Genomic DNA, 25,133 nt, shown 5'->3' on the forward strand with positions numbered 1-25,133 from the left:
TCTCAGATTTAAGACTTTGATCCACCTTGAGTTTATTTTTGTATAAACAAAAATGTGAGAGATATCTAGTTTCTTTCTTCATGTGGCTAGTCAGTTTTCCCAGCACCATTTATTAAATAGATTTTCCTTTCCCCAATTTATACCTTTGTATGCTTTGTCAAAGATCAGTTGGTTGTAAATATTTGGCTTTATTTTTGGGTTCCCTATTCTGTTCCATTGGTCTGTGTGCCTACTTTTATACCAGTACCATGCTGTTTTGGTAACTATAGCCTTGTAGTATAACCTGAAGTCTGATAATGTAATGCCTTCAGACTTGTTCTTTTTGCTTAGGATTTATTTAGCTATTGAGGCTCTTTTTTGCTTTCATATGAATTTCAGGATTGTTTTTTTTCTAATTCTGTGAAAAATAATGTTGGTATTTTGATAGGAATTGCATTGAATCTGTAGATTGCTTTGGGCAGTATGGTCATTTTCACAATATCGATTCTTCCAATCCATGAGCATGGGATGTGTTTCCATTTGTGTCTTGTATGATTTCTTTCAGCAGCGTTTTATAGTTCTTGTAGAGATCTTTCATCTCCTTGGTTAAGTTTATTCCTAGGTTTTTTTTTCTTTCTTGTAGCTGTTGTAAAAGGAATTGAGCTCTTGATTTGATTCTCAGCTTAATCATTATTGGTATATAGCAGTGCTGCTGAGTTGTGTACACTGATTTTGTAACCTGAGACTTTACCAAATTTGTTTATCAAATCTAGGAGATGAAACACTTTCTAGACATTATTTTCTCCACCGCATACAGCCTATACCACAAAGTATTCCCACTTTACTGATGGTGAAACACAGGTTCAGAGACATTTGGTAACGCTTCCATCTCACAGCCAGTGCTTGGGAGAGCTTGGGTTCGAACCCAAGTCTGAGTGAGCTCTCGGGCATTTTGTTGTACCACGTTTTCCCTGGGGAACTTCCTTCCACACACATACCACGAGTGCGGTTACTGTGGGGAGTGGTCCCAGGAAACAGGTAGGAGGAGTGGGGAGAGTGCCACAGGGAGAGGGTGGGTTCAAGCAGGCCTCCACAGTAGGGCTTGCCCACATGTTAGCAGGGGCTTCTGAGGAGTGTGTAGAGAGCATCTCAGAATTGTGTGCCTGAAGGACAAAGGAGGGGAGTATTTATCTTCCAGCTCTGTCTTCTGCTGGTTAAGCGATACCCGTAGGTTACCCATAGGTGTTAACTTCCTCTCAGTGAAGGGAGCATCCATGAAGGGTGTGTGCAGGAGCTCCCAGCAGGCAGCATGTGAGAGTGCTCTCAGTTACACCTGTGTTGCATGGCTGCCACAGTGGTGACTGGATTGTCATGTGGTCAAAAGGATCTGGGCCTGGACACAAAGGGCTTCCAGAACACACCTTTTTTTACTGTCTAACAAAATCATTGCCTTTTAAAAAGCACCTGCATTTTTGGATCACACCAAGCCCCGGACTAAACACTTTCCACACACCAGCTGGTCAATACCTGGGCAGGTACTGCTATTATTCCCATTGTACATCCGTGGAAACTGAGGCTCAGAATGGTGATGTGACTCGCTTGTGGCATGTGGCATTGCTGGGACACGAGCTTGGCCTGCCCATTCCAAGCTTCTTTGCCTCCCTGCCTCTCCCTGCTCCTCCGCAGAGGCCAGGCAGCCACTTTCACAGCCATGGCAGCCTTCCATGGGCTGGGTGGGCGTCAGCTCCAGGCTTGGTTCTTACATGGGGGAATCTCGCCAGAAATCCAGCCAGGGACCGGATGGCATCTTATAATTCTCTGTATCCCCCAAGCTGCCTAGCACTAAATAAATACTTGCTGACTGATTGACTCATTCCGGCCCTGCTTCCAAGTTTCCTTGGGCCCCTTCTTGAGGCAGCCTGGCCCCCACCCTGGCCTTTTGGACTCCCCTATTCCTACCAGCTCCCGAAGCCTGAATTGGCAGTGGAGGGAGTGTTGCGTTTTGAGAGATATGAGCTGGTGACAGAAGGGGCTTGGCAGTGAGAGTGGGTGGGCAGTTGAGCTGTGAGAGGGGTCTTGACATTCCTTGTCCCAGAGGCCTCAAAACAACCTGAAATCAAGAAAAATGTGTGTTGATAACTGCTGAAATATTACTGGGAGACCACATAGTGTAGCAGTTAAGGGCACAGGCTCCAGATCAGGCATCCTGGGTGCCAATGCTGGCTCCAACTATCCAAGTATCACTTTACTTATCTGTGCCTCGTCATCTTCAACTGTAAACTGATCATAATAATCACCTTGTAGGGCTATTGCTTGGGTTAAAAATGAATTAATATAATGCCTAGCAAGTGGTAAGTGCTCCATAGATACTAACTGTCATGGTTGCTATTACTGCGTTACCAGCATTTATAACCCTGCAAGGTCAATTTACCACTTGCATTCTACAGCTGAATAAACAAGGTTCTGAGAAGGTAAATGTCTCGTACGAGTACTAGAGTTTGAATTCCAATGAGGGTTGGACTGACTCTGATGTCCATGTACTTACACTAAATCTGTGCTTACATGTTTTAATCATTTATCAATTAGTTATTATTTCAGTACTAATGAGATCTATTTATCATTACTGTCCATCATACTTTTTTTTTTTTTTTTTTGAGACGGAGTCTTGCTCTATTGCCAGGCTGGAGTGCAGTGGTGTGATCTCGGCTCGCTGCAACATCCACTTTCTGGGTTCAAGTGATTCCCCTGCCTCAGCCTCCCAAGTAGCTGGGACTACAGGTGCATGCCACTATGCCTGGCTAATTTTTTTGTATTTTAGTAGAGACAGGGTTTCACCATGTTGGCCAGGATGGTCTCAATCTCCTGACATTGTGATCCACTCGCCTCAGCCTCCCAAAGTGCTGGGATTACAGGCGTGAGTCACTGAGCCCAGCCTTTCTTTTCTTGTTTTGTAGAGTTGGGGGAGTCTCACTATGTTGGCTAGGTTGGTCTTGAACTTCTGGTCTCAGCCTCCCAAAGTGCTGGGATTACAGGTGTGAGCCACCACACATGGCCCAATTGTCCATCATACTTTGAAAACAATCATCAGGAGAAGGCTTCTTGAGGGGAAAAGGAATCAAGCAGCAGGCAATAAAGAAGCAGCTCATCTCTGATTGGCTAGTAGGACACTTAAGTGGCATCAGTTGAAATCAGGTTGTTTAAAATCAGTTCAGATATTCCAGTATAGTCATTTCATAAACCTGCAGGATTGGGTATGATTGTAAAAATCTCATTTGTAACAGTAAAACTGTTTTGGCTTGAAGATCTATCAACATATAATATTTGAGTTCTTGTTTGAGATTTAGATAAGGTATGTCATGTTCAGGTCAAAAGTAGCTTGGTTAAACCAGCTGCTCCATTCTCTAGAAAGTAGTTGATCAGAGAAATGGCATCTTGTCGACAGTAGGGGGATATTCTAAAACTATAAAAATCCTGGAAGGCAACCTAGGCAATACCATTCTGGACACAGGCGTGAGCAAAGATTTCATGATGCAGACACCAAAAACAGTTGGAACAAAAGCAAAAGTTGACAAGTGGAATCTAAACTAAAGAGCTTCTGCACAGTGAAAGAAACTATCAACAGAGTAAATGAGCAACCTATGGAATGGGACAAAATTTTTGCAAATTATGCATCTGACAAAGGTCTAATATCCAGCATCTATAAGGAACCTAAAGAAATTTACAAAACAAAACAAAACCAAACCCACACAACCCCATTAAAAAGTGGGCAAAGGACATGAACAGATACTTCTCAAAAGAAGACATACATGTGTCCAACCAGCATATGAAAGAAAGCTCAACATCACTGATCATTAGAGAAATGCAAATCAAAACCACAATGAGATACTATCTAACACAATTCAGAATGGTTATTATTAAAAAGTCAAAAAAATAACAAATGTTGGTGAGGTTGTGGAGAAAAAGGAATGCTATACACTCTTGGTGGGAGTATAAATTAGTTCAGCCTTCGTGGAACACAGTGTGTCAATTCCTCAAAGACCTAAAAACAGAAATACCATTCAACACAGCAATCCCACTGCTGGGTATATACCCAAAGGAATATAAATCATTCTATCATAAAGACACATGCATGTGTATGTTCATTGCAGCACTATTCACAACAGTAATGACAAGGAATCAACTCAAATGCTCATCAGTGATAGACTGAATAAAGAAAATGTGGTACATATACACCATGGGATACTATGCAGCCATAATAAAGAACGGGATCATTTCCTTTTCAGGGACATGGATGGAGCTGGAGGCCATTATCCCTAGCAAACTAACACAGGAACAGAAAACCAAATACCACATGTTCTCACTTATAAGTGGGAGCTAAATGATGAGAACACATGGACACATAGAGGGGAACAACACACACTGGGGCCTATTGGAGGGTGGAGAGTGGGAGGAGGGAGAGGATCAGGAAAAATAACTAATGGATACTAGGGTTAATACCTGGGTGATGAAATAATCTGCACAACAAACCCCCATGACACATGTTTACCTATGTAACAAACCTGAACATCCTGTACATGGACCTTTGAACTTAAAATAAAAGTTTAAAAAAGAAACCAAAACAGCAGAGGTATATTATGATGGTTGCTTGGGATTTACAATTATGAGAGGTGCAGGAGTGAGTCTGTAGTGATACAGGAAGTCTCCTTGTAGTGCTCTTTCTACCCCTACTCATTGACATCCACAGAACATGCACGACTTTCTAAGTGTCCTACTTCATCTTCAGAACAATCCTGTGAAGAAGGGAATTATCCCCATTTTACAGATCAGGAAAACAAGGCACAGAGAAGAATAGTAATTTTCCTATGACCACCCAGCCAGTGAGTGGCACAGTCACTACAAGAAATCCGACTCGGCCGGGCGCGGTGGCTCACGCCTGTAATCCCAGCACTTTGGGAGGCCGAGGCGGGCGGATCACGAGGTCAGGAGATCGAGACCATCCTGGCGAAAACGGTGAAACCCCGTCTCTACTAAAAATACAAAAAATTAGCCGGGCGTAGTGGCGGGCGCCTGTAGTCCCAGCTACTTGGGAGGCTGAGGCAGGAGAATGGCGTGAACCCGGGAGGCGGAGCTTGCAGTGAGCCGAGATCCCGCCACTGCACTCCAGCCTGGGCGACAGAGCGAGACTCCGTCTCAAAAAAAAAAAAAAAGAAATCCGACTCCACTTTTGTGCCTTTGATGCCTACCGCCACTTTATTCTTCACGCTGAGGTTGAAAATGGACCTCCCTGTGGTCCCCAGCAGCTCAATGGGGATTACACATAGAGAAAATCTCCTAGAGTGGGATTTATAAAACTCGAGTAAGGAAGAACGAGATGCTTGAGGGAAGTAACATCAGATTTAATTTCCTTCCTAACACATGCTATGTATTTCATGTATGCAAACCCATGTGACCTTTATTGCAATGCCTCAAAATTAAAATTGTACATGTTGATGGTAGTGGAAATGTAACCCTAGCAACATCAAATGGTTTGGACAAAACACTTGTTATGCATCTGGTACAGTCAGGGCTGGGTTTCCTGACCTCCAATCTCAGGGCCACAGATCCATTCAGATCTGTGTTGAGGCTCTGAAGGAAGGTATATTGATTCCACCTGTTTAAAATATAGCTTTTATTATTATTGGTATGGTGAGGCCAACAGAACAAAAGCGAACAGCCATTGAAAAGATAGTTTGTTACTCACAGTTCTTAAGAGGAGGGGCATGCTGCACCACAGAGGGCCACACAGGAAGCACCAGGGTCCATCAAGAGGCAAGAGGAGCAAGGGGAAAATATGGGCAAGAATCTTTATTGTGGCTTTTGCAGGAAGCAATGTGGGAGGCAGGTTAAGCAGGTTTAGCACTGGCTGGCTTAAATAATTTTGGTAGGCTCTGGGGACTATCTCTTGGTACCCTGGTACCTGGACCTAGAGAGATTAGGGTAAGAGGATAATGGCCCAAGTTTGAGAACCCAGTGAGAGTCTGAAAAAGAAGTGGTTGTGTTAGGTTGGTTCGCATATGGAAGATATTCTCCTGGGGGTGATATTTGCTGTCTGTCGAAATTAACTAACCCTGAGGGGGCAGTTTTTTCCAGTTTCCACAAGGCCCCAAGATGTCAAATATCAAAATAAAATACATGCTTAATGCACCATCCTTGAAGAGAGTAGAATTATGGGTGTCCTTATAAGAAGAAACAAGCAGAGTACACAATAAGGATGGATGGATAGATGGATGGATGGATGGATGGATGGATCAATGCACCAACAAATATATAAGGTTTATCCTCCCTGACGTTGATCATACAAGTTTAACATATACGATTGTTTCAGAGAACACCTCCTATTTCAAGATGAGGGATAAAACACAGTCACAAAGCAGCCTTCATGCAATGCTGGACAGGCCTTCATCCATTGCTCCAAAATGAAGACCCTGCTAAATGATGTGCAGGGAGAGTTGTCAGCATGCAGCTGGCCCTCTGGGATTGCCCATTAGTCGTTATTCCCCATAACTCTACTTCCCAGACATCAGAGCACTGCTGGTTATACATGTGAAGTCAGTTCTTTTCCAAAATCAATAAGAAACTTTTGACCAGGGTATCCACATTGACTCAGAGAAAAGAATAAGGATGCTAACCAAAGCTAGAAAATAAAAATCTCTGAATGGGTGCTTTCATTCGTCTGTTGGCAAGAAACACATTTAAGGAAACCAGGTTGGTTCTCAATTCCCTTTTTAATAAATTAAAAATAGCTTCTTCTGATACTTAGACACGAGGGTCCCAAATGGCCCGGATAATCCATTAGCTCAGATGGAGAAAGCATATTTCTCCATCAATAAGTTAGACTCATCTTGCCATGACCTCCAAACTTGTAACTAACTCATAACTACACTGGAAAGAGTGTTGTGTTTAAGCCCAGTCCTGCTAAATTCACAATTTGAATCCCCCTGAACCTCTGCAATTGGTATTTTTCCTCATGGGGTATTTCTATAGAAACCCATCCCCAAGACTAGCTATTAATTGGAGAAGGTTTATTTATCCTATAGGTTTGATAATCAGTCATCAGATTTCAGCACTTGTTTTGTGGGATTCCATTTCATCACTTGCTACAGTATATATTATTATTCATTATATAAATTTGTTAACGGTGTATTTATTTGAGTGAGTCTCCCTCTAAATAAAGGGGCCTTATAAAGTTTTTTTTTCAAATAAAAGGTTTATTTTTACATCAGCTATTTGCTTTCCTATGCTAAACCTCCGTTGAAGGCTCTGAGCCGCATGCAAACCAAATTCCTGCCTTTCAGGCCAGGATGGGGCTATTGGAAGGGTGATAAAAGCAGCTGCATGGGCCCTTCAGCAGATTTGGTTTTTTTCAGCCCTGTCAGTCACTTTCTCTTTGAGAAGGGAACAAGACGGCTGGTAGAGATTAGGAATGGTAATGTAAAGGTTTCTACCTACTGCATACAATTCTTTCAAATTAATGCAAGCATTAAATTGTGAATGATTTTTCACATAAAGCAGATATTAAACTGTGCATGCCCGCTGGTGTTGATATAAAGTTTTGTCAACATTTTTGGCACATGGGGTCTGAGCCTGCGGGTCAAAAAGTGTTTTTAACCAAATTTTGTTGTTTCAGATGCTTTTTTTACACTTGTGTGTTATAACTCAAACGTGGATTCTTTTCCCAAAAATGAAATTTGGCAGGCCATTAGTCCATAATGTGGTCTAGTGCCTTTGGGTATTTTTTTTAAACATGTAAATGGCCAAGATATCTAGGTCTTTGAGGTTGAAAAACTGTGCATGCACTTTTAACAACTTCTTTTTCGTCTGTATTTAGTATGCATATTTACTGCACACATATAGTATGCGGCATGCCGATTAGACTCAAGATTAGTTGGGAAAATATACAAACGCCTGTTCACAGGGAGGACTTCTTCGAGGAGTCTGAGCTGATATGTCTCCTTGTTTTTACTAGGGACTAAGGGCTGAGGGATCAGTGAGTGCAGAGGTGCCAGCCCATTTCCACTCCTCCTTAGCGCCAGAAAACCCTGACTGTGACAGCCATCCCTGAGCCTGCTGGCCAGCTCCCTAGCGGGACAACATTGAAAGGGAAAGGGTGAGCATCCAGGTCTCTAGTCTCTGTCTCAGTACCGTAACTTGTACCGATGCCCTGTGAACACTAATCCTCGGCTGTTCCCTACACTGAAGGACCCACAGACAGAATCTGTAGCAAATACGTTGAGCATAAAGAAAACACATTAGAGCTGAATCCACCGTTCAGATCATTGAAAACTAGCAGTTATTACCTCATTTGAAAGTAATTTTTAACAATTAGCTTAGGAAAGTATTTTATAATTTTTTGCTAGCCTTACACAAACTAGAAATTTCTCATATAATCAATTAAATCTGGCAGCATAGCATCAGGCACTCATTAGGCTGGGCTGCTTGAAATTCATGTACAATTTCTTCCTTATGGTGATCTGCAGGAGTTTTTAAACTTGCACTGGGATGCTGGCAACATCCCCCAAACATCTCAGACACATTGTCTCTCTGAACCTGAACTTCTTAAATGGTGGTTAAACATGTTGTCTGCTTTAGTTTCCTGTCTATCTTCATCATGAGCCAGCACCTGTTTCCAATAAATTATACGCAGAACTGTATCAGCAACACCTTGGCAACAGCTGCCACCCTTAAAAGCAGAGTGCCCTTGAGGACAATACACCTGTGAACACACAGAGTGTTTATTTAGCTGAAAGCCAAAACTCTAAGTTACATAAAGCAATTATCTAAAGCCTAATGTATGCCCATTATTAACACAAAATAACCCTGTTCTTAAAAACCAATAAAAATCTATTTAAAGGATTTTTCCAAATCCCACTGAAATTTGTAAGCAACTAGAGACCTAGTTTTAACCTGGGACTTAAAATTCTAATGGTGGGCAAGGCAGAGGTTTGTGTGTGTTATAAGATGCTTAGCTCATGCTTGGAATTTGGGGCATGGGCATGCATGGGTGGCATAGCCAAAGCTTCAGACTATCGAGCAAGGACATGTCTATTTAAAATAATCCTTGTTACAAGCCACTCAAAAACATTTTTGACTATGGTCTAGAGGTTAAACAAAAGAAATGGATTGTTTCATTTTGTATTTCAGTAGGGGACTAGTTCATCTTAGATGGCTTTCTTTATTTGTACAATCCACCTTAAACATACAGTTCAGTACCTAATAGTATTACCTTTGGGTAATGGGGTTAGCACTACACTAAATGAAAATGGAACCAGCGTCAGGTAAAGACCTTCAGACTTCCATCCTGCCATGTGAAATATATGAACAATGCAAATACCAGCCCAACACAGTATCTACAGCACACAGTTCAGTTTCTAGAGTGTTTAACTGTGGCCCTTTCGAGAAATGGGACCACAAAGTGTATATTGTTGAGCAATAAATACGAACAGCGTATAGCTCTTGTCTCTCCCACCTTGAAGCCTCACGAAATCTGAATGATTTTTTTGCTTAGAGTCTATAATACGTTAATCCCTGTCTGATACTTCCTGTTGATGTTTAACTGATGGACCTATAGTCACTGAGGTGCAAATGTGTTTTAGCACTTCTGTTTGGCTGAATGCAAATGCTGTGGAAGTAACTGCTAATGAGTATTACAGCTTCCAGCTTGGACCATGTCACTGTCGGTTCACATATAGTACACATGAATAAGCAGATGCCTGAAGCCTTAGAATTGGACTCCACAGAAGAAAGTTTCCAAACAGCAGGTCTGTGTCTTATGACAAAGACCATCACATGCCAGGCTTTCCCAAAACTGGCCATATGGGTGACAATGGGTGAGGCCTCATAGGTTGGGGAGAGGCCTCAGAATGTGACACACCGTGGCCATAACTGGTTTATTCTCCTCTTTGCAACTTGTTGGTGCTTTAATTTATTTCCTAGCTATTTTCTTAGCTCCCATTCCACACTAAAAGCTAGGGATGCCGAGATGAATTAGACGAATGACTGTTTCTTCTTGCTGGATTCCAAAGACCTCTTGCATGTGTCTGAAGCATCGGTGAGGTGAGATCGAGGTCCTAAGAGTGACCTGTCACCACTGGTATAGTTAATCCGGAGCAAGTCACCCTCCCTCTTTCCGGCAGTTTTTTTTTTCCCCCTTGTAAAACATAGAGATCGATTCCTGTGGCATCTACATCACAGAATTGACGTGAAACTCAAATAAACAAATGCAAATATATCCTGCCCATTTCAAACTCTGAGTCCTTTTGGGAGCCCTTCACTTATTGAGCTGTAATAGCACTATGGTTCTTTCTTTAGGTGAATTCGCTTGTTGTAAGTTTGAAGACTCAACATGAAACTCACAAAACGCAGCCACAGCAGTGGTTTCATTATCAAAACTCCAGCAAGCATTCCAGCCAGACTAATTCCCCGCTGGATTCACTTAATGTGTAAGAAGATCTTTTAGCCAGACTTCGCTGGGGAAGAAAAAAAATATGTATATATATATCTGAAGAAAGTTAGGAAAAATGTGTTTTTCTTTTCTAACCAGTACTGTATTATGCAAATTCGAGGCTCTCTTTATACAGATTTAAGACTTCCTTCTTTGATTTATTTTCTTGATTAGAGATCCTCACAAACGATTACATGTAAACGTGAGAGGCACCCAGTTTGGATTCCAGACCAGAAGAAATCCAGGAATGGATTTAAAAAGGAAAGCTGGTTCCCATCTCCCTGGAGAATTTATCTTTATTAAAGGTCAGCAAATTTAGAGCTGCTTTGGTAATTTACCACGTGTATGGGAAATAAGTTGTGAGTACAAGTTTGCACAGAAGATAAGATTTGCTATGTTTTAGATAAACTGGTTTTTGATTATTGAAAGGGTAATTCTAAAAACATTTTAAAATCCTATTGGTTTCTCTGCCTGCTTGTCAGATTTCCCATTGGTGATGAAATCCTGCCAAGTGTAGATTTAGTGTTGGTCATGAAATGAGACCTGGCTTGCGGTTATTTGATAATAACTGTGATAATAAATTCATCCATTAATTTCTTTCCTGTTTCTCTACATGAGTAACATTAAACTAAGATGTTATGCTATTGGACGGAGAGAATCATTTTATTCATACGTGTGTGTGTGTGTGTGTGTGTGTGTGTGTGTTCACTCACATCCTCTTTGGAAACTTTATTAGGTTGATAACTCCCAAAGACTACATCTATTCTTCCTATATAGTATGTGGAGGATAATGCTAAGGTTTGAAATGAGATGCCTGATCTCAGATCAACAAGGGTTATTAGAGACAGTGACAGGTTCTGTGACCATGGACAAATACATTAAAACTGGATTAATAATGAACATAATAAACACAGTAGCTTGTAAATGAATGATGAGGCAAAACTTGCTCTCATCTTCAAACTGTCCCACAGATTAATGAAGCTGGGACCATAGAGTAAACAATCGCTAGCTTTGTTGTTATTGTTGTCTGTATGGTTTCTGTTTCTTTTCCTTTTTTTTTGTTTAGGTTATATTCATGTTTAAGAAGAAAAAAATAGATCTTTATAAAATACTTTGTTACTTTTGGCCTGAGAGAATTTATGCACCTTCTGAGGCATATCTAGATGGGCCATGTTCTTCTTCATGAATGGCTGAGAGGCTCACATGTGACACTTTATCAGATTTAATGCAGATTTATCAGCATTTTAATGCTTCAGATTTATTATGTCCCACACGTAGCAATGAGACGAGCCTGGCCTTTCTGCTTGCATGTCTTGAAACAGGTCAATGAATCAACGATGATTTGTTTCCTCCTCCTTTCTCCTTCTCTTTACCTTGAAAGGATGGAGAGGATCAAGAAGAACAGGAGTGATTTTTAACTGTGATCCTTTTGTGTGAGGGTGATTTATTGAAACACTCCAAGCTTGAGGTTCTCAATGCCTTTTTGCTCTACACAAAGCAACGAGGGCAAACAACAGAATGATCTTGGTGTGTAAAACTGTGCTTGTTTATGTGGGATTTGGTTTAAACTTGTTTTGAACTACTGGTTCATTGTTTAAAAATGCACACCTGCACAGAACCAGTTGTGGTTGAAAAGTTTATTAGCAAAGAACGTTGGTCAGTACCTGGAAATCCTATATCAAGAAGTGTCATGGTTTTTGTTAAGAATATGATTCCCCTTTAGTTACCAAAACCAGTCCGACATCCACCTGCAGCAAGGAGGTTTGGAGGAGAAAGAACTCAAGATGGGAAGAGTCCAGGAAAATACCCAGGAACACAGGGAAGCAAGGTCAGGCCCAGGCCTGTACTCTGAGCTTAGTATCAGTGTAGGGTTAGGGCATGAGAAGGCTCTAAATGTTCTCCCCAGGAATGAGAGCTGATGTCTCAGGTACAAGGAGATAATGAAGGTGGGAGATGGTTTTAAAAACTGAGATGTAGCCAGGCACAGTGGCTCACACCTGTAATCCCAGCACTTTGGGAGGCCAAGGCGGGCACATGACCTGAGGTCAGGAGTTCAAGACCAGCCTGGTCAACATGGTGAAACCCTGCCTCTACTAAAAATACAAAAATTAGCCAGGCGTGGTGGCATGCGCCTGTAATCCCAGGTACTCGGGAGGCTGAGGCAGGAGAATCACTTGAACCTGGGAGGCAGAGGTTGCAGTGAGCCAAGATCACATCATTGCACTCCAGCCTGGGCAACAGAGCAAGACTCCATCTCAAAAAAAAAAAAAAAAAAAAAAAACACTGAGATGCTTTATGACTGCAAACTAGGCATCCTAAATAAGACTCAGCCCTGATATTTTTCAAAGCTTGATGGGTAGAAATGGGGGAAAATGGCCTTTTTAAAGCTTCAAGCTGGATCCCTGTTACTATCCCCAAGTTCAGAGACAGTAGGCTTAAATTCATCTTTGTCTTGGTATAGGAGGTAGCATGAACTATTGCGGGATCTGGCCAGCAGCCTGCAATGCAACAGGGCTCTCTCTTTGTTCCCAGTTGAGTGCCAGATATTGCAGGATCTGGCCAGCAGCCCGCAATGCAATGGGGCTCTTTCTTTGTTCCCAGGCGGATCGGCAGGTCGAGAAATAATAGACACACAAAAGATAGTGAAAGCTAGGTCTGGGGGATCACTGCCTTCCGGTCCCATGGTGCCACTAACGCACTGAATATACCAGCATTTATTGTTAAGCTTAGTGAGGGCAGGGGTAGGTTAGTGAGGGATTTAGGGTCATTTGATTATGAGGTGAGATGGTCGTATGTGGATGAAGTAATTCTTTAACATAACAACTATATGCAGAAGTACAGTATACAGAGATAAGAATTTACAATATAGTGTGTGCATCAGTAATTTCTAACAGAGCCTTACAACAGAAACACAGTCTTTCCATAACCTATGATTAGCCAGATATTAATCAGCAGTAACAGTTGCAGCAAAAGCTGGTTACAAACAATCCACAGATACAGGACGTGAAGCTAGACAACCGGTTAGACCAGAAATTCTCAGAAGGGAGTATGCCTTAATCCTAAAAAGGCCTAGAAGAGCCGCGGCAAGATGAGGGAGTTTATACCCCTATCTTATCCATATGGACAGGTGCCCCTCACGCATCTGTTTATAGGCTCTCCACAAGGGTCGCATTCCATTCCCAGAGCTATGAACATCTGCTTTTCTGGGATAGGAATCTTGGTAATGTGAAACCTTCCTGACTGCATGTCCATTCATAGGCTCTCTGCAGGGGGAAGCACATCACATGGTGTTGGCTCATTCTGGCAGTCCAACCTGGCATTGTCTTTACACAATCCTGCATGCAATTTTGTATTTACAATAATCAGGAGCATTTCATCTTTTATTCCGTAGCAATAGTTTCAAGGGGTCTCCCTACAATGAACAATTGTTTAAAGGGCATTTTTTAAAAGTTTTATGTTCAGGGGTACACGTGCAGGTTTGTTACATAGGTAAACATGTGTCATAGGGGTTTGTTGTACAGTTTATTTCATCACCCACATATTGAGCCTGGTACCCATTAGTTATTTTTCTTGATCCTTTCCCTCCTCCCACCCTCTGCTCTCCAACAGGCCCCAATGTGTGTTTTTCTCCCCTATGTGTCAGTGTGTTCTCATCATTTAGTTCTCACTTATAAGTGAGAACACATGGTATTTGTTTTTCTGTTCCTGCATTAGTTTGCTAAGGATAATGGCCTCCAGCTCCATCCATGTCCCTGCAAAGGACATGATCTCATTTCTTTGTATGGCTGCATAGTATTTCATGGTGTGTATCTACCACATTTTCTTTATCCAGTCTATCATTGATGGGCATTTAGGTTGATTCTATGTCCTTGCTGTCATGAATAGTGCTGCAATGAACATACACATGCATGTCTCTTTATGATAGAATGATGTATATTCCTTTGGGTATATACACAGTAATGAGATTGCTGGGTCAAATGGTATTTCTGTCTTTAGGTCTTTGAGGAGTCACCACACTGTCTTCCACAAAGGTTGAACTAATTTAGACTCTCGCCAATAGTGTATAAGCCTTCTAAAGGGCATTTTGGTTCCGCAAAAAGCAACCGAGCCCTGCATCGGATGTGGGATGTTTAGAGACCGCATGGGGCCAAAGGCTCTGCATAACAATATCAAACTTTCTTCGGAGATGGAGTTATAGGAACAGATTATGCTTTCTTTTAGAAGATGATTTTGGCGTGATTTTGTTTGACATGGGTTTTAGCAGAGTAGGGGTTCAGGGTAGAGGTGCCTCCCAATAGCTGAGATGCACTGGCTCCTTCAACATGGTGACTTGCAGGAAGTCAGTGATGGGGGACCGTGGGAAGTCTGTGGATGGGTTCTGCCGTGTGCACTTTAATCCCCTTCTGTTTTCCAAAGGCTTTAGTAATCTCTTGTTAAATCACGTGGTCTGGACTTAGCTGTGTGTCAGGGAATGAGAGATGGGCCTGGCTTCATATTTGGGGGAATAGTAGGTGGGACAAGAAAAGTAATCTGGGCAAAGTTGGCTGCCACATGAAAAAGGAAAGTAGAGATTCTGGGAGAAATGTGTCTCTCAAGAGGAACCTGGAAAAAGGTGAGAATCCATAAGGTTAAATAAGATCCTCATAATTTCAGTGTGGAAGGGAAAAAGGATGCCTGATGCCGGGTTTATGAGGCAGGAGAGAGGCAGGTGGTTGTTATAGGCACAGACTAGAGGCAGATTTCCTGGTCCCCATCCTGACATCTCTGCTTCCTACCCGTGTGGCTGTGGGCAAGTCACCTAACCTCTCTACTCCAGTTTCTGCATCTGTTAAAATGGAGATCATGTAAGTACCTACCTCAAGAGGTTTAAATAAGGCTTAAATTAGATAATGTATGTTAAGTAGGCAAAGCATTTGGCATAGTATCCAGAATGTCAGAAATGCTCAATAACTTTTATTATTTTATAATAGAAGTTAATAGAATTTAAATCTTTACCACTGCAACAGAAATAGGCATGACTGTGGGACTTGAGAAGGGAGTTAGGAAGAAGACAAGGGTCTCCTACCCTGCACACAATGCCTGACATATAGTAGATACTCAATAAATTTTTCCCAGGTCATAAATCATGCAGAACAGCTCTTTAACATAGTGAGCTGGGACTCAGCTTCACTTACCAAGCCATTTTCCAACCATTTTCTGAAATACCCAGTAGAAATAGTTTGATTATCTCTCTAGGTCTGTTAGGCCAAGATATATAAATAGACATTCTAGAATACAAGATATAATCAGATCGATTCTAGATTGTCACTACACACCCCTCTTAATTTGTATCCTGACCTGTACCCTTGCCTAGAACCCCTACAGATACTGCTCTGGTTTGGCCTGTTTATGTCAGAGGGCACCCCATTAGCACAGAAGGATCTGTAATAGTCATAAATGAAAGTATCACATGCAGCTAGGGTAGCTGGCTTCCTTGCCAGACCCCATGTGAACATTCTGGGGTGATAAGGTCAAGGGAAAAATATAGAGATATAAGCAATAAACAGAGGCAAGATGCCACCATGTTCTCCACGCCATCCCCTGCCAGTGGCATGGGACAGGAACCAGAGGTAAAGCAAGGGCTACTCTTTAGAAGACCATGAAGATAAATTTGCACACCATCCAATACCATAAAGAAGGGAAGGGAAGAGGGAGGAAGCAAACTTACCTTTACAAAGCCAGGCTATCACTGAAACATTTTTATGCACCTGTTGTATGTCCTACACACTCAATTGTCAGGAAGGTATTATTGTCCTACTCCAAACGCATGAATAAATGGAGACTGCACACGCAGCCCAAGTCAGACAAGCACTGGGTTCAATTCATGTCTACCTGTTCCCAAAGCCAGGGCTCTCTCATTGCTCTGTGCTGCTGTCACAGAAATTTGAGTCATACAGACACCCTCATCTGGGCAGTCAATCTTTCTCCCACACTTTTCTCCCCACTCATCTATGACCCTACCTCTCACTGTCTCATACTTATAAGGCACACGTAGTCACATGACCTTATACTTTTGGCTGATTGTTATCAACCAAGTTTTTAACACTTTTTATGCCATAAACTCTTTGAAGGCGAGGACCATTCCTTACTGAGAGATGTGTCCCCTTGAGAGTCTGTCATAGTACTTTCAAAATAGCAGGTGCTTAATAGGTAATTGTTATCTGAGTAGTGATACATTCAAATAAGCAATAATTATTGAGCTAATTGTCATTTTATGCCATGAGATTTCATAAAACTGGATTGGATAATGAGACAGATAAAGGAATTATGGAACAGAAGCTATTCTCCCTTACCATGGGCCCCTATTCTGCATCTAAAATATATGAAACTTTGTCAGGGTAAAAGAGGAACAATCCTAAACCCCTCTGGGGAAGAAGGAGGGTGCCAGAACATGCAAAGTGGAATGTTCATTCTAAAGGGACTTGTCCAGGCCCTATTCTTTGGGAGAGGGTTGGGTGTGGGTCTTAGTTGACCTATGGGGAATATCTGGATTTTCACATGTATATTTGGTTCTAGTAAGGATCATTGTAGATCCCAATTAGAGTTATTGTGTGAAATTAAGTTGTATCTCTGAACCATACGTGTTAATTATATTATCTCCAAATGTAGAGCTTTGACAGTTAAGGAAAAGGAGTTAGTATATTTTAAGTATCTCTTGTTTGCTAGACACCAGGCTAGATATATCTCATTTAATCCATCAATAGCACTGGGAAGTAGATGTTATTTCCATTTTACATAGGAAAAAATTGAAGTTTGGAGAGGTTCTTGCTGCTAGGGAGTGAGTGGTAGAGCTAGGATTATGAACTGGCTCCTTCCTGGAAGAGTGAGTCAGAGATTGGCTGGATGGTGGTGAGGTGTTAAAAATAAAGTTGTGATCATTATGAAGAGCAAATGTGAAACAGGAATGTGGATAAATTGTGATTAAGCACTGAAAACAATTAGCCAATGATGGTGGGGCTTTTGTCCATATTGGAAGCATGTAGTTCATATATAAAATTTGAAAATACACATATACTATGATGCAGCAATTCTATTTTACATCTCAGTATTTACTGCAAAGTATTTATGGTGCAGAAAGACTTACAAATGAGCATAAGACAGTATACTCAAGGATTTTTGTGGTAGCATTTCTGCAAGAGTGAAAAACAAATCAACCAACTAAGCTAAGTCAACCAACCAAACAAAAATCCTTAAAGGTCTATTGATAAGAAAAATGAGAAGACAAAATTTTCAAGGAAATAACAAGAAAAATCTCTTAGTTCAGTAGGTCATGAGTTTTCAGATTGAAGGAGGCGTCAAGCTTCCAGCAAAATGAATACAAAATTACCCAAAACTAGGTGTATTATCATAAAAAGTTTCAGAATACCACTACATTAAACAAAACAACACACACACACAGAAACACACACACACACACACCCCTTCCCAAAAGCCCGTGGAGAGACAAATGAGTCTTTTATAAAGGATCAGGGTTCAAAATGGCATTGGTCTTCCAAAAGCAGCACTGGGAGATTACACAACAATTTAGCATTGCTGACAAGTGTGACCACGTTGAGATAAGGTAAACAGTTCTCTTGGAAAGTTTGGGAACAAATTATTGCTTGGTAGATGGAAGTCTAAAGATAGGAAAATGTGAGGCAATTATCAATTCCAAGAAAACCAAAAAGTTGTATAGAAAAAGTCATATAATTGACCAGGCATGGTGGCTCACACCTATAATCCCAGCACTTTGGGAAGCCCAGGCAGGCCATCATCTGACGTCAGGAGTTCAAGACCAGCCTGGCCAACATGGCGAAACCCCCTCTCTACTAAAAATACAAAAATTAGCCAGGCATGATGGTGCACACCTGTAATCCCAGCTACTCAGGAGGCTGAGGCAGGAGAATCAGTTGAACCTGGGAGGTGGAATTTACAGTGAGCCAAGAACATGCTGCTGCACTCCACACTCCAGTCTGGGTGACAGAGTGAGACTCTGTCTCAAACAAAAAAAAAAAGAAAGAAAAAGAAAACGTTATATATTCATAGTTCTATAAATGTCATGAATGAACAGCACTTACAATTATAATTTTAAAAATATTTAACCATACATTATTACTTTACTATATTGGTACACTGGAGAGAGGAAAATATTCACGTATAGAATGGGGTGAAGGTGGAAAGTGAACTAATTCTTTTTCTATTATAGAAAGTCAATCAATAACATCTAAAACTAAAAAAATCAAGCAATAGCAGTATATGTATATTATGTAGAACACCAGAAGAAATCATCTTTGTGGGAGGGGGATGCAGGGGTGAGGCGGGGAGCTGCAGAGAACTGCTGCTTTTATCTGAAACCCTTATCTGAAAGCCTTGCTGCTATTTGCCTTTTTAAACTATGTATGTCTATTACTTTGATTTAAAAAAAATTAAACTAAAATGAAAATCTATTCCATGTTTATTAGAAACATTTGGAAAATAAAGTATAAAGATGAAAATAAAAATCATTCATTATCTACCACCAAGACATAGCCACTCTTAGTACTCATGCATATGATCTTCTAGTCTTATTTTCTTTCTAGCTAAACACACTTTGATGAGCTCACAGCATTTAAGTTTTGTAGGCTCCTTTTACTATTTGTCATTATTAACACATTAACACATTCCTATACATTAAAACACGTTTTGTAGATACCAGTTTTGATGGCTTTATAATATTCCAGTTTTGTGGTTGTGTGATTATTTAATGATTAATTTCTTTGTTGGACAGGTGCATTGCTTCAATCATTCAACATCATAAACAATGTTGTGATACATATCTTTATACATAAATTGTTGCTATTTTTGTAATTATTTCCTTATGATATATCCCCAGAAGTTTATAAGCATTCTTAAATTAGTATTTTATTAAAGGACAAAATATGCTATCTTAGCAGAAAGAAGAAAGAAATATCCAAAGAGCTAATTAATTAAATTAACTCAGATTTCAATAATGGAAAGCATAGAAAAACATATCCAGGGACTAATAGGGCTTACTTTTTAGTGCAGGTTTTAGAAATATTGTTAAAGTACTTTTATGGTAATCTGGAAATAAATGTGCAGATTTTTAAAGGTAAAAAACTTACAGCTCATTGACCGCAATGTTTACCTCTGCAGAAGGCCTAGGACTAGAGATGGTCATCAAGAGAGCTTTGACTTTATCTAGAATATTTGAACGCTTTACAAAGAGAATGAATTGAATTGCTATGTTATGTAATTTAAAATATTTATTTCTTTATATAGATCTCTCTTTTAAATGAATAAACTTTATTCCCTCTAGCCTCTAAGCATGGAAATAACTACTCATATCCTAAGGTGATTTACGTAGTTGACAAAAGACTTTCAACTACCTTATTATTTGTCAAAGAATCCCTGTAAGTCAGGCATTATTATCTTTTAATCTGTAATGCAGATATACACCTTAGACAGTATGGTTAAATTCTGAAACTTCCTTCTGCTGTAGAGCCTGATATTCAAGAAAATGGCCAAACCTTTCTTTCTAAACACCTCCCCTCTTCTGTTACCATACAGCTTATGTCTCTCTCCCTTTTTTTGAGTAAAAACCTACCTTCTCCACAGGGCTGTCCCTGAAGACACAACTCAAACGGATCTCCACTCACTCCCTCCCTCACTCATGTCTTTTTGGAGTGCTTATTATGTTTCAGACCCCATGCTAAGAGATGAAAATAACTGCATGTTCAAGGCAGACAAAATCCCTGCTTTCCTTTGTGTGGCATGTATTCTCTTTAGGGAAGCAGAAAACAAAAGTTAGAAATACAAACAAAATGAAAATTAGTGCAATGAAGAATATAAGCTAGAGTGATGTGTTAGAAACTGATGATTTGGGGGGAAAATGACTTTAGATAACATGGTTAGAGCAGGCTTTCTAAGGAAGGGTCATTTGACAAGAGACCGAAGGATGAGAAAGAGCCAGGCATGAGGACAGATGTGGGCATAGGTGGTGGAATACAGAAGTAGGGAGCATGAAGACTAGCAGGCAGAGAGGAGCTCATGGGTTCAAGTGACCAGAAAAAAAAGTAGTGACAATAATTGTACATAAATCAGATAGAAATTGATCATACCATGACCTGTTAAATATTTGTGTTTGCAATTTCACATGTAATAATTTTAACATCAGAGGCAGGCAAGAATGTTTATTAAGTACCTACTCAGGGCTGCCCAACTGACAACCCCTGGGGATACCACTTGCCTTGTACTGATGTGAGTGAGGGTCCCTGCAGCTTTGTCATGTGGCAGTATTGCTGAACATTCTGCTAAACAGTTGACATGGATCATCTCATGGAATCCTTATAGCAACCCAGGGTGTAGATATTATAACTGTACCCACTTTAAAGAGAAACTGAGACTAGGTGAGCTTAGGTAACTTTCCCAAGGTTATATAACAGATTATGCAGCAGGCAAGCAGTAAAAAACATTTTTAACATAGGTGGTCTGACTCCAGAGCTATTCTGCTTTGTGGTCCCCATCTGCCATTGATGTCGCATCTCATGAAACTCATGTAAGCTCTGTAAAGGCAATAAACATGCATTCTACTGTTTGGTACAGCTGCAACACACTCAACAGAATGCTATACTCCTAATATATGCTGAATATTGCTTACTGATTGATTCTATGGAAAAAATTAAGTATTAAGTCACTCATAATGTACAAAATCCAGAGAAAGCAGAAATCCTATGGCAATGGGTGAACTAATGATCTCATTGGTATACACTTTTGGGAACTCAACTAGAAACCCTTCCTTAGGGTCACTTACAACTGCTTTCCTTAGGAAATAACTCTAGGTCTGAAACGCAATCATTCTAAAATGACCTTGGATATATGGAATAGAAATAACATCTTGAGATGTTATTCTAATCAATTCATTGAGAATTAGTTAAGTAAGAATCTGAGAAGAAGGTTTTTGTGCTGCATGTTAACAGGGAAAAGAAGTTAATAAGACCTAATATTTCATCAAAATCATTGGGCCACATCTAGGAAAGGTCAAGTTCATGGTGAACTTTTTCTCCATCTTTTAAAAGAAAAAATAGTAAGACTCATGCCAGTGATCCCAGGACTTTGAGAGGCTGAGGTAGGAGGAGCGCTTGAGGCCAGAAGTTTGAGACCAGCCTGTGCAACATTGTGAGACTCTGTCTCAAAAAAAAAAAAAAATTTAAACATAGCAGGGAATGGTGGTGCACACCTGTAGTCCTAGCTACTAGGGAGGCTGAGGTGGGAGGATCATTTAAGCCCAGGCGTTCCAGGCTGCAGTGAGCTACAATCGTGCCACTGCACTCCAGCTTATGTAACAGACCAAGACTCTGTTCCAAAAACAAAACAAAACAAAAAAAGAAAGAAATTAAGGAAAAAGGCACATGTACATTTTTGTGGCAGATAGATTCTTACGGTAGCAGCCCCACAATCTCTGCCTCCTGGTGTCCATGCCCCGTATGATTCCTTATCCTTGAATGTGGGAAGGAAGGATTCATGACTTGCTTCGAACCTATAGAATGTGGTAAAGATGGCAAGATGTAAGTCATTATGTGTACGTGATTATGTGATTATGTTATATTAGATTGCAGCACCTGTATTGCACATGTGTTCTCTCTTTTTCTCTCCCTCCCCCTTCCTCTCTCCCACCTTTGCTAACTTTGAGGAGTCAAGAAACCATGCTGGGGAACCCCACACAGCACAGAACTATGAGGCAGACTGTAGGATCTGATGACAGCCAGAAAGAAGCCCTCATCCTAGTTGCAAGAAACTGAATTCTGCCAACAACCTAAGTGAGCTTAGAAATAAATCCTTATCCATTCAAGCCTCAAGTAAGACCACAACCCCAGCCAAAGCCTTGATTGACATCATGTGAGACTCTAAGCAGAGGACCCGGTTAAGCCATGATTGAACTCCTGACCCACCGAAACTGTGAGATGATAAGTGTATGTTGTTTTGTTGTTTTAAGTCACCAAGTTTGTAGTAATATCACTACATAAAAATAGAAAACTAAACATTATCCCATTGAGGGAATTTAAATTCGAGGCACATCTTTGGAAACAAGCTTTGTATGAGAAGGTATAAAATTGGAACACTTGCCAGTGTATTGCTCATGCTGGAGATGAAGGTCAAAGGAAGCCCTGCCCCCTGCCCTGTAGGACAGCCTTGACCTTTCTGAACCAGGATCCTTTTGCTCTCACTCTATGGAAGTGTTGAAATGTCAGCTGTGTTTGCATGTGTGAAGGGATCTTACACAGAGGGCCCATGTCTCAGAACATGCACGTGATGTTTTTACAGCAAAAATAATGTTGGTTTGCAGGACCTACATACATAGGTTTTTACTGGAGCACAGAGGCCTTAGACAAACCTCCCAACCCAGCAAGGTTGTATTTTCTTTTCAAAGAAATACAAACCAAGCTTAATTTAAATCAATAGAGAAGGTAACAGTGATAAAAGGGGAAAAAAATTACCTAAGCACAGGATAACAAAAAAGAAAGTGGCAGTCAACATATATGAACCTGGGAGAGAGAAAATGCAACTAGAATTTAGGAGGAACTATTCCTTTTTCTCCTAGAAATGTGCTGATTTCCCTTCCTGTTAGGAGGTCCTAGCTGAGTGCCTTTTCATTGAAAGGGTAGCATGTACACTGTACACACCAATCACTTGCTTATTAAAGGTTCCTGTTCTCTTTCCAGCACCTGTAGCAAGAAGTGGGATGTTCTGGATTGGAAGAGAAACAGCAAAATGTTAGCAAAACAGTTTAAAGGAAAAGCTGTAAGAGAAGATGAAAACAGCTTACAATGATCCAAAGGGAGGCATTAAGGCAAAGAGGAAATGTTAATGCAGGCTAAAGACAAGTCTGGGAAGAAAATGAAAAAATTCCCCTAATGGGTGATTCAAAAACAATCATAAGAATAATAATAGTTGAAAAAAACACTAGTAGAATTAAGCAAGAATACTGAAGATAATTTATTAACATATTGGCCTGGCACAGTGGCTCACACCTGTAATTCCAGCATTTTGGGAGGCCAAGGCAGAAGCTCACTTAAGCGCAGGAGTTCAAGACCGGCCTGGTCAACATAGCAAGATGCCAACTCTACAAAAAAAAAAAAAAAAAAAAAAATTACCCAGGCATGGTGGCACACACCTACAGTCCTAGCTACTAGGGAGGCTGAGGTGGAAGGATCACTTGAGACCAGGAGTTTAAGGCTGCAATGAGCTATTATCGTGCCACTGCACTCCAGCCTGGGTGACAGAGAAAAATTGTCTGTAATAAAAAATTATATTGGCTTCTTCACTGAGCTAAGTTTTCATTCACTTAACCTATATTAGCATACACTAGCTTTTATATTTCCTTCCAACCCTAGAAGGTAAATAATGTTATTAATCCCCATTTTACAGACAAGACTGAAAGAGGTTAACTTGCCTAAGTCACATGGATAGAAAGTAGAAGAGCTAAGTTTTGAAGTCAGAACTCTCTGATCCTAGTTTTCTCACATTTAATGCAAGAAATCTCAAGTTCTATGGTATAATAGAAAGAAAATGCAGGGCACTGTCTATGTTAAGAAATACCCATGTGCAAATGGGAAGAAACGTAATGAGTTATTCCTGGGGGCTGAGGTGCCGGCAATTGCAGAAAAGTGTCCCTGTGAGATGAGAAGAACAAAGGTACCCAAGACATGAGCAGGAGAAATGCTCTCGGAATAAAATAGAATAGTGGAAAATGGATCCCTTGTTCTTTGATTTAAAAATTACTTTTCTAACTATTGTGCCAATGTTTCATATAGTGAATCAAAGAGATGGCCTGTGGCAGAATCACCTAGGACCTTTGTTAAAAGTGAGATCCCTGCACCCTGATTCAGATCATTTAGGTAATGAGTTATTCCTGGAGGCTGAGGTGCATGGCAATATCCCTGAGAGATGAGTAGAACAAAGGCGCCCAAGACATGAATGGGAGAAATGCTCTTGGAATAAAATAGTCAGAATAGTGGAAAACAGATCCCTTGTTCTTTGATTTAAAAACTACTTTTTGTAGTTTTGTGTCTGTGATGGTTAATACTGAGTGTCAACTTGATTGGATTGAAGGATGCAATATTAATCCTGGGTGTGTCTGTGTGAGTGTTGCCAAAAGAGATAAACATTTGAGCCGGTGGGCTGGGGAAGGCAGATCCACCCTTCATCTGGTGGGCACAATCTAATCGGCTTCTGGCAAACACAAAACAGGCAGAAAAATGCGAAAAGAGAGATGGGTCTAGCCTACCAGCCTATATCTTTCTCCCATGCTGGATGCTTCCTGCCCTCACACACCGGACTCCAAGTTCTTCAATTTGGGGACTTGGACTGGCTCTCCTTGCTCCTCAGCTTGCAGACAACTTATTGTGGGACCTTGTGATTGTGTAAGTTAATACTTAATAAACTCTTCATATATATAATACATTCTATCTATCTATCTATCTATCTATCTATCTATCTATCTATCTATCTAATCAGTTCTGTACCTCTAAGAGAACTCTGACTAATGTAGATTTTGGTACCAGGAGTGGTTCTAGAGGAACAGAATATTAAGGATAGAGTTCTTTAATTATTTTCGGGTTTCTGGAGTTGGCTGCTTAATATGATTAGACCCAAAAAT

General features: G+C 40.6%; 2 long non-coding RNA genes across 12 annotated transcripts in view; one reads left to right on the forward strand and one right to left on the reverse strand.

Annotated features, from left to right (window-relative positions):
- Positions 1-25,133, reverse strand: part of LOC124906243 (uncharacterized) — a 207,146-nt gene that overhangs the window by 91,991 nt on the left and 90,022 nt on the right. The window lies entirely within an intron of this gene.
- The window catches only part of LINC02030 (long intergenic non-protein coding RNA 2030), a 74,093-nt gene that overhangs the window by 8,944 nt on the left and 40,016 nt on the right, over positions 1-25,133 (forward strand). For 4 of the 11 annotated variants that reach the window (NR_183740.1, NR_183746.1, NR_183749.1 and 1 more), the window contains one exon: positions 10,634-10,764. The exons of 3 other annotated variants lie outside the window; for them this stretch is intronic. This is a non-coding gene — a long non-coding RNA (long intergenic non-protein coding RNA 2030). Of the gene's footprint in view, positions 1-7,984; positions 8,126-10,326; positions 10,458-10,633; positions 10,765-25,133 lie in introns of all 11 variants that reach the window. 4 more of the 11 variants (NR_183745.1, NR_183748.1, NR_183742.1 and 1 more) reach the window with 2 other exon arrangements.

The sequence above is a fragment of the Homo sapiens genome, chromosome 3, assembly GCF_000001405.40.
Source record: "Homo sapiens chromosome 3, GRCh38.p14 Primary Assembly".
Classification (NCBI taxonomy): Eukaryota; Metazoa; Chordata; class Mammalia; order Primates; family Hominidae; genus Homo; species Homo sapiens.